We start from the raw sequence: 15,476 nt of genomic DNA, 5'->3' as shown, positions 1-15,476 counted from the left end.
AAATAAGAAAATCAATGGGGAAGTGCTTTGAAAATTATGCATTGCTAAGTAAACTGAAGGGCCCTGGGATGTGTCTGCAGTGAGAGGGTTTGAACTCTGCATCTGGTAATGGGAGCTTTCGGAGACTGCTCTTCCTGCTGTGACCACCCTAAGTTGGGAGACAGAAATGTTTCAAGAATACAGGGAAGGTGAAGTTGCTATAGTGAATGGGGTGGTTAACAAAATAATATGTGCTGAAAATCTCTCAAAACAGAAAGGTCAAAATGCTTTCATTATTGAGTGCTTTAAAAATGATTTAAAAATAGTTATTCAAGGCTGGGCACGGTGGCTCACGCCTGTAATCCCAGCACTCTGGGAGGCCAAGGCAGGTGGATCATCTGAGGTTGGGAGTTTGAGACCAGCCTGACCAACATGTAAAACCCCGTCTCTACTAAAAATACAAAAAAAATTAGCCAGGTGTGGTGACACATGCCTGTAATCCTAGCTACTCGGGAGGCTGAGGCAAGAAAAGCGCTTGAACCTGGGAGGCGGAGGTTGCGGTGAGTCAAGATCGCGCCATTGCACTCCAGCCTGGGCAACAAGAGCAAAACTCCATCTCAAAAAAAAAAAAAAGTTATTAAAGCCAGGCGCAGTGGCTCACGCCTGTAATCCCAGCACTTTAGGAGGCTGAGGCAGGAGGACTGCTTGAGCCCAGGAGTTCAGACCAGCTTGGGCATCATAGCGAGACCTAGTCTCTACCCAAATAATAATAATAATAATAATAACAAAAAATTAGCTAGGTGTAGTGGTGCCAGCTGTGGTCCCAGCTACTCAGGAGGCTGAGGTGGTGGGATGATCCCTTGAGCCCAGGAGGTTTCAGGTTGCAGTAACAACTGTACTCCAGCCTGTGTAACAGAGCGTGACCCTGTCTCAAAAAAAACCAAAAAAGTCGCTCATTCATTCCTGTCTTACTAACGGATGTGGAAATGAGAAGTTCCATCTTTGCCTGGAGGAAGTGTAGAATACACAGAGCAGAGAATATACAATGATAGCTACCATTTCTTGAAGACCTACTGTGAGCCAGGGACAGTGTTAGGGGCTTTCTACATATTATCTTATTTAATACAAGCAATCATCTTGAAGGCAGGAATTGATATCTTCAACAATGAGTAATTAACTACCAGAGAGGTAAAGGGAGTTTGTCCAAGGTCACCCATATAAATGCAAGAGTCAAAATTAAAATCCACGTCTGCCTGAATGCCAAAGCTCAAGTACTCTCCAACACTAATAAGGTGAGAGTAATCCATTCACTGAAAAAAATATTTGAGTGCCTCAGGCCGGGCGCGGTGGCTCACACCTGTAATCCCAGCACTTTAGGAGGCCGAGGCAGGTGGATCACGAGGTCAGGAGATCGAGACCATCCTGACTAATACAGTGAAACCCCGTCTCTACTAAAAATACAAAAAAATTAGCCGAGCATGGTGGCGGGAGCCTGTAGTCCCAGCTACTCGGGAGGCTGAGGCAGAAGAATGGCGTGAACACAGGAGGCTGAGCTTGCAGTGAGCTGAGATCGTGCCACTGCACTGCAGCCTGGGCGACAGAGCAAGACTCTGCTTCAATAAATAAATAAATACATAAAAATAAAAAAACTGAGTGCCTCTTTTGTTCCAGACATTGTTCTGAGTGCTAGTGATATAAAAGTGAAAAAACAAAGTCCTTGTCTCATGGGGCTCATGCTGTAGTGGAGAAAGACAATAAAAATGTAGTATGTCAGATGGTGATAAATGCTGTGAAGGAAAATTAGGATGGGGTGCGTAGGATTACTATTTTAACCAGAATGGTCAGGGAAGACTCTGATCATGTGAAGTCTGAGCAGACGTACAAGACTTGGAAGAAACAGAACTGGCACAAAGAAGAACTTCCTCCTTTGCCTACCTATGGGTTCAGTTTGGAAAAGAGGGGGCGGGATGGGAGTGCAGGTGTTAATGGAAACTATATGCTCAAAATCAGAAGACCTGAGCATTACTTTACTCCAGGTGATTTACTGGCAAATCTTTTCACCTTTGAGCCTCAATTCCCTTCACTGTAGACGGGAATAACAGTTCTTGCCCAGCTTCTCACACACAGCTGCCATGAGGATCAGATGAGATGACCCACTTGAAAGCCCTTTAAAAATAACACAATCAGGGCCAGGCGCAGTGGCTCACGCCAGTAATCCCAGTACTTAGGGAGGCTGAGGCAGGTGGGTCGCTTGAGGTCAGGAGTTGGAGACCAGCCTGGCCAACATGGTGAAACCCCGTCTCTACTACTAAAAATACAAAAATTAGCCAAGCGTGGTGGTGCGTGCCTGTAATCCCAGCTACTCGGTAGGCTGAGGTGGGAGAATCGCTTGGACCAGGGAGACGGAGGTTGCAGTGAGCCGAGATGGCGCCACTGCACTCCAGTTTGGGCGGCAGAGTGAGATTCTGTCTCAAAAAAAAAAAAAAAAAAAAGACCGGAAGTCAACTCTTCAAATAAAATGTATTCCTATCTCAGGTGCAGTAGTTACCCTAAACATCTTTTTGAAAGGCCGCCCAGGCTGAAAAAAGAGATAGGCTAAACTAAATAAGCATAAGTTTCATAATATGCCTCTGCTGAAGATTCTTGGGTAATTTACACCAGTCAAAAATTGTGGGCCGGGCGCGGTGGCTCACGCTTGTAACCCCAGCATTTTGGGAGGCCGAGGCGGGCGGATCGCCTGAGGTCAGGAGTTAGAGACCAGCCTGGCCAACGTGGTGAAACCCCGTTTCCACTAAAAATACAAAAATTAGCTGGGCATGGTGGCGGGCGCCTGTAATCCCAGCTACTCGGGAGACTGAGGTAGGAGAATTGCTTGAACACAGGAGACGAAGGTTGCAGTGAGCCGAGATCGCGCCACGGCACTCCGGCCTGTGAGACAGAGCGAGACTCCGTCTCAAAAAAAAAAAAAAAAAAAAAGTGTGTCGTGTGCTTCAACTAAACTAGGAAAGAAGTCTTGGGATTCTAATCTTTAACTCTAATCGCCACGCCCCTTCACCCGAACTCTATTTCCCAATATGCCCCGGGCTTCTATAATCCCGCAGTCATTGTGACGCAATCCCACAGCCTTCTGGGAAACGTAGTTTATTTATTCTCCAGCTGGGGAAAGGCTTAGGGCTGTGGACTACCTCTCCCGTGAGGTAGTGCGCAACTCCACCCTGTTCGCGGCGTCTTCGAACGCGCCGCGGCAGCCATGTTGGACGTGGTCAGCACAGGGGCCGGCACCACGGGGTTATCGAAGCAGCTGTCAAGATGCTGGGGTCCCTGGTGTTGAGGAGAAAAGCACTGGCGCCACGGCTACTCCTCCGGCTGCTCAGGTCCCCAACGCTCCGGGGCCATGGAGGTGCTTCCGGCCGGAATGTGACTACTGGGAGTCTCGGGGAGCCGCAGTGGCTGAGGGTAGCCACCGGGGGGCGCCCTGGAACATCGCCGGCCTTGTTCTCCGGACGTGGGGCAGCCACCGGGGGGCGCCAGGGAGGACGCTTCGATACCAAATGCCTCGCGGCTGCCACTTGGGGACGCCTTCCTGGTCCCGAAGAAACACTCCCAGGACAGGACAGCTGGAACGGGGTCCCCAGCAGGGCCGGACTGGGCATGTGCGCCCTGGCCGCAGCGCTGGTGGTTCATTGCTACAGCAAGAGTCCGTCCAACAAGGGTGATTATGAGATCTGGGTTTGAGGAAGGGAGAGGCGGGAAGATTGTCCTAACTTCGTATCTTAGGAGGGTGGGAGGTACTTATAGGTTTAGATCCTTAGAGCCTAAGTCTTGGAGGGACTCAGACATCATCTGGTTACAGGGGCAGGGTGTTGCCCTAGAGACCTCATCACCTCGGAGTTGTATAATCTCGTACCATAGATCCGCTTCCCCTCTCTGGGCATCATTTTATCCATCTGTACAATGGGGATATTGGACTAAACATCTAATATTATAGCATGGTCCCCTTATGTTTCTCATATTCTGCCTGGTCCAATTCCTCTTTCCTGAGATCTCCAGGAAACGGAAATTATGGGGTGTTTTAAGGGCAACCGCCAGATGGTTTAGAGAAGTTGCCAAACCGCTCCCCCCTACCCCCCGCCACCAAAGGTGCCAGAGTCAGGAACAACCTGACTCGGTTCTAATGCCAGCTTGACCTCAATTTATTTATTTATTTATTTATTTATTTATTTATTTATTTATTTATTTATTTCTGAGATGGAGTCTTGCTCTGTCGCCAAGCTGGAGTGCAGTGGCGCAATCTCGGCCCACTGCAACCTCCGCCTCCCGGGTTCAAGCTATTCTCCTGCCTTAGCCTCCCAAGTAGCTGGGACTACAGGTGCGGGCCACCACACCCAGCTAATTTTTGTATTTTTAGTTGTTGGTCAGGATGGTCTCGATCTCTTGACCTCCTGATCCACCCGCCTTGGCCTCCCAAAGTACTGGGATTACAGGCGTGAGCCACCGCGTCTGACCAATTTCTTTATTTATATAGTGAAGGATAGTTTCCCAACATTTTTACAGTACTGTTATTTTGACTCTTTTTGGAGTTCAGCGGCCTGAGTCTGTCAGTCTCAGGATTTTGCTGTGTCTGGTCTCACATGCTGTGAGGTGATCTTGCCATGTGGGATAGTTGGCAGGAGAAGGAAGGTGGATTCCTGGAGGCCCAAGGGCAACTGCTGGGGGACTGGCTGATCCCGATTAGCATCTCATTTGGATCCGGGGAGCTAAGCAGCAGCTGAGAGAGTGGACAGAGAGCCAGACTGATGACCTATGTGAGTCCAGCCATTCAGGTTCTTAGTTGTTCCTCAAGAAGAAAGACTGAGGCATGGTGTCCATAGATTCCATGCACCCCAAGCTCTGAGAATTTGGAGCAAGAGTTGGGGAGTAGGGAGTGCCTTGACTTTGATTCGTTTGATGTGGCCAATTGTAAAGGAAGGACTTTGGTCTGGGAGAGACAACACTGGGGATCTTGTTTTGGTTCTGTGTCTAACTCTCATTGTGAATTTGGACTTTTGCTTCTCCTCACGGGTCCTCTGTTTCCTCATCTACAAAATGAGGGTTTTGAAATAGACACTAAGGGCATCGAGCTTAGGCATGTTGTAATCCTATAACTTCCAGCATTTTTGGGGGTACCCACTGTGTGTCTAGTTTTAGGCTAGGTGTGTGGGAAGTCCTAACTTAACACAAAATCAGTCAAGGGGACAGTGCAGGCAGTTGGAATGTAGGGCTGGTGAGTGGTGCTATGTGTCGTTGGGGGATCAGAGGGCCAGTAGGGTCAGGAAAGCCTTTCTGGAGTATTGGAGACCCCAGAGGATGGGAAATTTGAACTTGAGTTCTGAAGGATGAAGTAGAAACGGAAAGGGGAGTGATCTTTTGAGCCCCATGAGAGCAGGAAATGTATCTTCTCTTTTGTTTTTTCAGGTTATACTAGCAACTTTCCCGAATACCTAGACATCATTTGCCCACCACAGTGTCTGGAACTTAGTAGGTGCTCAGTAAATGTGTGAGAGTTGGATTATATTCCATGCAAAGGCTTCAGGGAATGGAAATAACAGTTTCGGGGCACCATGGTGTGTGCAGGGGCCAGCAGAGCAGCCAGCTTGGTTGGAGGATAAGGTCTTTGGAATTAGATGAGAGCAGATGGAGTGGGGCCTGGATGCCAGTCAGGGGTGGGGTAGGTGAGGGTGTTGGAATTTCTTCTGTAGGCAGTGGAGAGTTATGGAAGGTTCATGAGCAGGGAATGTTCTGAGTCCAGTGTATTTGGTGAGGTCTTGCCTAAGAAGTTCCTGGGGGTTCCCAACTGGACTTTATGGCCTATGAACTCCAGCAAGAATACCAGGGTCTATTTACCAAAATAGATAATGGTCAAAGCCGTGACCAGTTCCTGCTGGAACTGACTTGCCAGCTACCCTGTCCCCTGACTTAGAGTTTTGACCCTCAGTGCAGTGTGGTAGAAACTGAACCCTTTTAGAAGCCAGGAGGCCCTGGTTCTTAGCTCATTCCTCACTCTGTAACCTTGTAGAAGCCACATTTTTTTCTGCAGAGTGAAGGGAGAGTGGATATAGCCATCTCTAAGGAAGGCTTGATCCCCTCCCAGCTGGTGGCTGTCTGAGCCATGCTTGGGTATGTGCTTTAGGTACATCCGGTAAGGTAAGTAGAAAGGACCTGTCCCTGGAATCTAGGCCAGGAGGCATCAATGTCTGAACCACAGGACTGGCTTTCATATGCATGATAAGGTGTATTGTACAGATAAGGAAACTAAGGCTCAGGAGGTTAGATAGGTGGGCTAGGTTATACAGCAAATAAGCGACAGAGCTGGGCTAGACCCCAGGTCTGACTGTCTCCAGATCCTGCTCTTTCACTCTACTCCAGTGCATTTGCTCATGAGTGAGTCTTTTGGCTGGACTGAGAGTTCCCTGAGTCAGGGCTGGCTATGAATCCGCCCACTGCCCAGCAGTGTAGCTCAGAACCAGGCTGGGCACAGAGGGCTCCATGTACCTGGTATTGAGCTATTTGAAAAGATTGTGCCTCTCCTGTTGACTTTTGAGTTTTTCTGAGTCAGTCCAATTTTCTTTATGGCCACAAGGTGGTGGCAACAGCCTGCAGGCTGCCCAGACCAGGCCAGACGCACTTAGCTAGCGTTGCTTTTCTCCTAGGCTTAGTGTCTCCTCTGCTTTGGGTCTCCCTTCCCTGGGCTCAGCACTGGGGAGTTTGCAGACGTCTCAACTGTCATTTCATCTCCTTGACATCCTTGTGAAGCTGGCAGGGCAAGGAGTTTTGTCTATGTTTTACAGTCAGGAAAGCTGTGGTTGAGAGAGAGAGGAGCTGTCATGGTCACGTGGTGAGTAGTGGGAGTGGAATGGAGCTAGATCTCAAAGACTCCTAGTTGAGACCTCTCCATCCTCAGAGAGGCCTACACCCTGCTTGCTCCTCTCCATTCTACCTTTCCTTTTGGGTTTATGACTTGACATCAAGATTCAGAACTGGGTTGAAGAACTGGAGTTGAGGGAGAAAGTGGACAAGATCAGGGAATCTTTAGTAATAACTCTTATAGGAACATAAAGCATATGCAGAGCTTCATAGATTATGAAGAGCACATTATTTACCATAGGCAAGACGTGGTGCTAGCAGTTGACCTGCATTCCCTCTATGATGAGAGGAGTGAAGAGTTTGGGCTCTGTAGTAGAAAGGTGTGGAAGTCAGGTTGTTAACAGTGGACACCATGTGGGGAGGGAATGATTCGTTTCTCATTATATATTGTGACATCAGTTTGCTTGTCAAAGTCCACGTTTCTAAAGTACTGCCACTGTCTTAGTGGGCCCTCCACGCAGTCCTGAGATGGGTATGTCCTGGCCGCGGATCTGACCAGTGCCCCCTTTCTCTTCAGATGCAGCCCTGTTGGAAGCTGCCCGTGCCAACAATATGCAAGAAGTCAGCAGGTGAGTTGAACCCCAGGCCTTGCTCTCCCCTACAGGAGAGGCTGAGCAGGGCGAGCCTCTTCTCGTGTGATGACTTTGCTTTGGAGGAAATCCTTACCCTAAGCTGGGAACTGTCCCCTGTGACATCTCTGTAGTCACAGAGTCACCTGGGCTTCCTTTACCCAGATCACCCCTTGGATATTTTCGGTAGGGAGTCAGCTCCCAAACATCCCTGGATCCTTCAGCTATTTTGTTCTTCACTGGGTTGGTTTGGACTCCCTTCAGCCCCCATATCCTTTGGGTTCTTCTCTGAATCTTCTGATTTGTGCTCATTTCTTTGGGAATGGCCATGTATTACTGCTTGCTGCCTGGACAGGTTGCAGGTCGGCATCTATGGAAAGGCTTGGGGATTTGGGACAGAGCTGGAAGAGACCATCTGCCAGAAGGTCTGGGGCTAGAAATGCCTGCCTGCAGGGCCAGGGGCCCATACCTGGCTTTGCCCGGGGACAGACTGCATTTCTGTAGCTTCACTGGCTCAGCTAGTCTCCAGTGACCACTGGCAGGTTGAATTTGAGGCTTATTATTTGGCAAGGGCAAGATTCAACTCGGCTCAGCCCAGTGCCAGGTATAGGGCAGAGTCTGTGTCCAGGATGGATGCTCAGACTGGGGCCAGCATGGGGCATCAGTTACAGGGCTGTTGGTTAAGGGCAGAGGTCTTATTCTTGTTGAAACTATGCCCCCCACTGGGCCTAACCTTGGCCTCTCTTGGCCATTTATATAGAGCTAGGTGGCCATAGGACACCCCCCTTCCTTGCCATCATGTCTGCATGTTAGACAGGAAGTCAGGTGTTGGGGTGGCTATTTCCACACCCAGTGCCACAGGCCCTTGGTGTTCTTCCCCACCTTAGCTTCCTGAACATACAAGAAAGTGTTGAAAAGCAGCCCACCCCACCAAGACTTACTGCTTTGATTCCCTTTCATTTTATCTGCAGCATTATTATTGATTCTCAAGGGTGCTTTTGGGTATTAATGTTCAAGCCTTAGTTTTTAATAAACCACTTTTGGAAATATGGGCTGGGAGTTGTTTTGTAGCCAAATAAATATGTTGGAGCAATAGTTTAATAAACATGCGATGATGCATCTTAAAAACCAAGCACAGATGTCATCCTGTTGTTATAAGAGCCATTCATAACTGCAGGCTGTGTGTGGCATCTTCATTCCTCCAGAAACAGATGTGCTTTGCTTCATTCTGCTGCAGTACAGGAGTACGGGTATGGAAACTGACCCTTGCTGACCCTGGAATCACCTGTTGGCTACTGCGAAGGGCTGCCGGGCTGCGACTTTCCCCTTTTGGCAGGGCATTTGCAGAGCAGCAATGTTGGGAATCCACTCTTCCATCCCCCAGGGGATGCCACTACCATATTCCATTGAGCTGCCAGGCATTGATTATTTAGTTCTTTCAAATACATGTTTTTCTAATAGCAATTAAACACCCATCCCAAAAATACAGAAAGTAATTGAACTTAACGGTGTATGTGTGATTCAGACAATTTTTCTGAACATTCATTCTCGTGTGGATAGTGTCTGGGGGGGCTTTTCATGTGTGTCCCCAGGCTCTAGCCTGCTTTTCTCCTGCCTCCTCTTGTCCCACCTCACTTGGTCAGGATGACCCTGTCAGAATCTCCCTTCACTCCATGTGAGGACATCAGAGATGAGCGAGGCACAGACCTGCCCTCAGCCCCCATCTCATACAAGACCACAGAGCCAGGAGCAAGCTAAGCAAAGGCGGGAAGCAGATGCTGGCTGGCTGCTGGGCCTGCGGAATATGTTGATGCTCCTGAGGTGGGATTTGTACAGGGTGTCAGAAAAGAGGGAAGGTTGTCTGAGAGAAGCTGGAATGTGCAAGGCCTGCCATGCCCAGGGTGAGGAGTTTTGAACTCTTACTCTGTACACAGTGGGGAGACGTGGGAAGTTTTTGAGCAGGGGAATGACCCAGTTAAGGCTGACTTGCAGAGGAGTGAAGGATGGACTGCATTGGGAAAAGGCTGAGGGCCGATCTGTTAAGAGGCTGTTTCTGTTTCAGTAAAGACAGATTCAAGATGATGAGGGCCTGAATGAGGACATCCTTCCCTCCCCCTCACCCAAAGCAGCTCTTGATTATGAAAGAGTGAGTGGGCCTCTGCTGGGCACTGCAGATGGGGGATGGGGATGGTGACCCAGGCCCTGGTCTCAAGGAAACAGACATGTAACCCACCAGTTATAGTTCTTCCTGCGAACAGAGCCAGGTCTGGGGGCAGTGGGGGTAAAGGGAGCCTGACCATCCTTGCTAGAAGGAAACTTTCTGGAATTCCTACAGTAGGTCCTTATTCAGCCTTTCTGTACCCTAGACTCTGTACAGGTGGTTCATGCTGCTCTTTATTTCTTCTTCAATGTCCTGGGCTCTTAGCTCTGCCCAACAGACCTGCCTATAGCAGGACAGAATCCCATACTCATTTATTTCTTTGAATTTACACATACAGTCATGCCTTGCTTAACAATAGGGACACATTCTGAGTAGTGCAATTTCATCACAGTGTGAACATCATAGAGTATACTTACCCAAACCTAAATGGTAATAGCCTACCACACACCTAATCTATATGGTATAGCCTGTTGCTCCTAGGCTAGGAATCTGTATAGCACGTTATTGCCCTGAATACTGTAGGCAATTGTAACATAATGGTAAGTATTTATGTATCTAGACATACCTAAATACAGAAAAGGTCATTTGTTGCACTATGATGTTGAGACAGTTACAACGTCACAAGAGGATAGGAATTTTTCAGCTTCATTATAATCTTATAAGACCACCTCATACATGCAGTCTATCGTTAACAAACACATCATTGTGTAGCGCATGACTGTAGGTTACACATGGTTGGGTCACTGTGTATATGATTGATATGGTCAATAATATCAGTATTTAGAGCAAAACTCAGACCTCGTAAATAATGTCGTGCTTTACCCTTCTTCCCCACTTGACCTCTCTGGGGCTCTGTACTGTGTCTGCCTCTACTTGACCTCCCCCAGCTCCTGTCCTTAGCCCCAGAGTCTTGGGAAAGTTCTGGATAGTGAAGGGCAGCAGCCTAATGCTCTTCTGCTCCCAGGGGGAGGTATTCGATCCTCCTCTTTAAGGACACCCTGGAATCTTCAGTCCATGGGCCCTGGATGTGGGTCCTCCACAGATGGCCCTCTGCCATCTGTATTCATTATCCTCTGCTTACACCTTTCAAAGCTCTAGTGCTGCTTTCCTTACAGAGCCTTCTTGGATTCCTCCCAGCTGGGTGTGATCTCATCTTCCTTTGCCTCTTCCCCCCACTCTGATCCTACACCTGCCTTCTGGTCTGGGAGGGTATGAGGGTGATCTAGAAAGGACCATGGCAGCTTGTCACAGGAGGGAGCTCCTTTTGTGGAAGAGAAGCTGGAGGTCAGGTTGGAGAAGTAGAGCTGAATGCCACTTGCCACACTGTTCTTTATATGAAGAAGTCTGTGGGCTATATTTCATCTGAAACTGCTGGATTGTGCACCTCCTGAAGGGCAGGGACAAGGTTGTGTTCTCTACCGTCTTTTACCCTGTTCCACAGCACAGCGGCACTTACTTGTTTTTTGTGACTCTTTCTTTGCTTTTTATTGACTTTTCAGTGTACCTGAAGTAAGCAGTCCAGAGGCTTTCACACTCCCCTTGGCTATATCAGAGGGAGGCCAGGTCTCTTCTCTTTCCTCCCTCCCTCGCTCCCTCCCTCCCTCCCTTCCTGTGTGACATCCATTTCCTCCCTTCTCCCCTGAGGCACTTAAGTTCATCCATCTCTGGTTCCTCAGAAGTGGAAGCCTGGCCTCCTACCTGTCAGCAGTGTGAGCAGGTGGTCCTGCTCCTGGGCTTACCCCAAACTTGAGCCTGAGGAACTGCTCACCCGAAACCTAGGGCACAAGGCAGACTAGAGGCACATCTGTCCAGGCTCAGGCCAAGCCATGTGAGGAGTTGTCAGGACTGGGACTGGGAAAAGTGAGGCCTCCTGTTCTCCCGGTGGAGATCACATTTCCTTCAGCACAAAGTGGGTGAAAGACAACACCCCTACCCATCTCCCTTCTCCCAGCAGGGGGCTAGGCCTCTGCTGAGTGCTTACCTCAGTTGTTCATCAGCCCAAGCAGTCTCTAATAAAGGAAGCCTGGCAAGATCAGTCTTGGGCCTCAGACTGCCTGCCCTTTTTCTCCAGGATTTATTTATTCATTTGACAAACAGCATCTGCCATATCCTGAGTCCTCTGCTTGGCACAGGGAACACTTAAGCAGTCATGGTTCCTGCCCATGATGACAGAGTCGGGGTAAACTGTGGCAATAGGGTGGTCAGTGCTGTGAGACAGGAAACTACAGGGGCTGCAGGAGACCAGAGGACAAACAGCCTGGAGGATCTGAGAAAGACTTCCAGAGGAAATGGCACCTGATCATAGACTTAAAATATCAGTTGGACTTTGTAAATAGAAGGGGAAGCCATTCCAGGCAAAAAGGGCAGCATATGTGGTAGCATAAGGCAAGGAGCAGCCTGGGGGGTATGCAGAGGGGAAGTCACTTGCTGTTCGGTGTTGCTGGATCACAGTCTGAGGCCAGGAGGGACTGGAGACAGGTAGCGACCTGGTCGTGGAGAACATTGATTGACTCTCCGTTTGTCCCTCAGTCGCCCATCTGTCCAGCCTGTGCTTTGTGCCTAGCCCTGAGCTGAATTTGTGGCAACAAAATGAGGAAGGAGAAACAGTCCCTGCCCTAGAGGAGCTCGTGTGCCCTCTGGTGAGGAAGAAGGACATGAGTCAAACATTGAGAGCCAGTGAAACAAGGAACAAATTACCTACCTTCCAACTAACATGAAGATGATAATAACTAACCCCACAGAGTGGCAGAGTCATTATTACTAATAACAAAATGATTAATTCATTCAGCCAATACTTACGAGTGCATATTCAGAGCTAGGCATTGGGCTGAATGTGGCAGTTAACAGTAACGAACAAGATTGGCACAGTCCCTGCCCTCTTGGCACAGTCTAACTAGGAGTCAGATAACTAATTATGCAACTGTAAAATTAGTAGAAAGAGTTTACTGGGGCCAAGTTTGAGGACTGCAACCCAAGAGTCTAGATTCAAGTTGCCATAAATATATGCTCCAGATTAGCAACAGTTGCAAGTGTGTTTTTAAAGGGAAAAACAAGAGACACTTTTTTGTTGTTTTTGAGACAGAATCTCAGTCCGTCACCCAAGCTGGAGTGCAGTGGCACGATCTCGGCTCACTGCAACCTGCGCCTCTTGAGTTCAAGTGATATTCATACGTCAGCTTCCCGAGTAGCTGGAATTAGAGGTGCATGCCACCACACCTGGCTAAGTTTTTTTTTGTGTTTTTTTTTGTTTTGTTTTGTTTTTTTTGAGACGGAGTCTCATTCTGTCCCCCAGGTTGGAGTGCGGTGGTGCGATCTCGGCTCACTGCAAACTCCGCCACCCGGGTTCATGCCATTCTCCTGCCTCAGCCTCCCGAGTAGCTGGGACTACAGGTGCCCGCCAACGCGCCCGGCTAATTTTTTGTATTTTACAAAGAGACAGGGTTTCACCATGTTAGCCAGGATGGTCTGACCTCGTGATCCGCCCGCCTCGGCCTCCCAAAGTGCTGGGATTACAGGCGTGAGCCACCACGCCCAGGGTATTTTTGTTTTTTTTTTAAGTAGAAATGGGGTTTCACCATGTTGGCTAGACTGATCTCGAACCCCTGACCTCAAGTGATCTGCCCACCTCGGCCTCCCAAAGTGTGCTGGGATTACAGGCCTGAGCCACCACGCAGAAGAGGCACTTTCCAAGTTGTTTACCAAGAATTTACATTAAAATAACAAGCTATTGTTTGGCTATACATTGTTCTTTGTATCACATATTCCAGGAACTACAGGAAAATAATGGGTGAGGCAGCTAGTTAGGAAACTACAGGGTAGAAAAGAAAGAAAAAAATGGCTTTAAACAATTGCCCCCAGGCATGGGGCAAGGGTGTGGGGTTATGGCTGAGCGCCTATACTCAGGTCTCTCTGGGCCCGATACATTTTGCATAAAAATATGATAGAACAGTACATCAGAATATTATTCATCAATTCAAAGGAAGCACTGATACGTGCTACAACATGGATGAACCCTGAAAATATGCTAAGTGAAAAAAGCTAGTCACCGAAGGCCACTGTCTTTGTCTGTTTGGGCTGCTATAACAGAATACCGCAGATTGAGTGGTTTATAAACAGCATAAATGTATTCCTCTCAGTTCTAGAGATCAAAGTCCTAGATCAAAGCTTCTGGTAAATGAGACTGAAGTGAACTCTTAATGATGAAGAGAAAGGCGGAAGACAGTTCAGTTAGAGGGAACAGCAGGTGGAAGGTCCTGACTCAAAGATGTGGAGAAATTGAGGAATTGAGAGAAGGCCAATAAGGCTGGACCCTAGAAAGCAAGGGGGAGAGTGGTGTCAAATGAGGTTGGCGAGTTAAGCAGGGACCATACCACACTGGGTCTGTAGGCCATATTAACAGTTTTTATTTTTGTCCTAAGAGCATGGGCAACCGTTGAGGAATTTTCAGCCAGTATGTGTATGTGTGAGAAAGACTAACAGGTACACATTGTGACATGATATAGATCTGCAGTTTTGAAAGATCATTCTGGTTGTTTGGTAGAGAACAGATTGGTAGAGATCTGTGTTGGATGCTGGAAGACTGGTTGAAAAGTAGCTGGAGTAGTCCAGATGAGAGAAGATGTGACATGGACTAAGATGACAGCAGCAGAGATGGAGGAAGTAAACTAGATAGGACTTGGTGATGGTTAGGACAATGCCTGGTACAGTGCCTGCCACACAGTAAGTATTCAATAAATGAATGAATATAAATGGATATGGTTGATTAGGGAGAAAAGGGTCTTAATGAATTTCAGTTTTCTGGCTTGATCATCTGTGTAGATGCTCTTGCCATTCACCGAGATGTGGATCCCTGAGGAACACTGGGTTTGGGGAAAAGATTATGAGTTCAGTTTTAAACATGCTGAATTTAACATGCCAATGGAAATGTCATTTAGGCACTAGAACCTCTGGGTCTTTCTGACTTCCCACTATACATGCCATGTTGCCTCTTAAATTATCATTTAGGAGATTCTTTTGGTGTCCTGTTTTGATTTCTGGTTTTATGGCTTTAGAAAATAAAGAACTTCATACTAGCCCAAACTGGTTTACTAGATGGCTTTGGGGAAAAAAATCTGATTTGGTTTACAGTTCAGGAAAAAAGAAAGGGTTGGGCTTTGTTGAGGGGTAAACATATTTATTCTAGCTTTGCACTGATGGCTTGGTTTGGTTCTCGTCCCTGGATGCCCCAGCTTGGGGCTTGAGGCACTTGCTGTCCATGTGCCAGGATTGAGGTGTCCAGAATGTACTTAGTTACAGCATAGGTAAATGTCCTGCACATTGATCCAGGGATTTTATCTAATTAACAAAACCCTGGCTGGTAAATACATTTGGCTGTCTCGGGGCCTCAGAGAGGCTGTCTGTTTATTGATTGTTGTATCATTTTGGCTGGATGGGAAGATATTAATGATGGCATCAGAGCAACCAAAACATCCAGCTCTCTTAATCAGGAAGTATGTAAATATCCTTGTGGCTTGCAGTGGATTGAAACACAAGCTTTATCCTAGACCAAAGGTCAAGGCCTCAAGGGCATCACTCCTGTAATTTGATACTTATAGTGAGAGCTTCTGAAGATCATCACACAGTTTTTTGAATGCTAGGGTGTACACAGGTTTTTTGAATGCCTTTCCAGAATGTTGGAAAGGCAGCATAATGTTACAGAAAGAATACAAGAGTTTTAGAATTAAAAGACCTCGTTTTACTTTTGTCATAGTTACTAACAAGCTATGTGACCATTAATAAGTCACTGACCTACCCTAAGTCTTAGCTTCCAAGTATTGTTCATGGGGTCCCCACTGAGACCTTTTAAATACAGTTCCCTAGTTTTT

The 15,476-nt window shown here is 47.7% G+C and overlaps 1 protein-coding gene across 8 annotated transcripts in view, besides 3 other annotated features; it reads left to right on the top strand.

Moving 5' to 3' along the window:
- Nucleotides 820-869: a silencer, noted in NCBI's record as "silent region_3719". NCBI's record gives its function as "represses an Ori minimal core promoter by ATAC-STARR-seq in GM12878 lymphoblastoid cells {active_cell/tissue: GM12878}" and the evidence as "EXISTENCE:reporter gene assay evidence [ECO:0000049][PMID:35858748]".
- Nucleotides 2,281-3,087: an enhancer, noted in NCBI's record as "H3K27ac hESC enhancer chr11:72145720-72146526 (GRCh37/hg19 assembly coordinates)". NCBI's record gives its function as "activates a minimal SCP1, AML or CMV promoter by ChIP-STARR-seq in naive H9 embryonic stem cells {active_cell/tissue: H9 hESC(naive)}" and the evidence as "EXISTENCE:reporter gene assay evidence [ECO:0000049][PMID:30033119]".
- Nucleotides 3,151-3,610: an enhancer, noted in NCBI's record as "active region_5191". NCBI's record gives its function as "activates an Ori minimal core promoter by ATAC-STARR-seq in GM12878 lymphoblastoid cells {active_cell/tissue: GM12878}" and the evidence as "EXISTENCE:reporter gene assay evidence [ECO:0000049][PMID:35858748]".
- Nucleotides 3,232-15,476, top strand: part of CLPB (ClpB family mitochondrial disaggregase) — a 149,037-nt gene continuing 136,792 nt past the window's right edge. For all 8 annotated transcript variants that reach the window (NM_001258393.3, XM_005274320.2, NM_001258392.3 and 5 more), the window contains exons 1-2: nt 3,232-3,691; nt 7,400-7,451. In NM_001258393.3, the coding sequence (NP_001245322.1) occupies nt 3,289-3,691; nt 7,400-7,451 (455 nt within the window). In that variant the 5' untranslated portion in view covers nt 3,232-3,288. The remainder of the gene's footprint in view (nt 3,692-7,399; nt 7,452-15,476) is intronic.

The sequence above is a fragment of the Homo sapiens genome, chromosome 11 (genome assembly GCF_000001405.40).
Source record: "Homo sapiens chromosome 11, GRCh38.p14 Primary Assembly".
NCBI classification, from domain to species: domain Eukaryota; kingdom Metazoa; phylum Chordata; class Mammalia; order Primates; family Hominidae; genus Homo; species Homo sapiens.
Note: the sequence above shows the minus strand (reverse complement) of the source record. Positions and strands in the feature narration are given on the sequence as shown.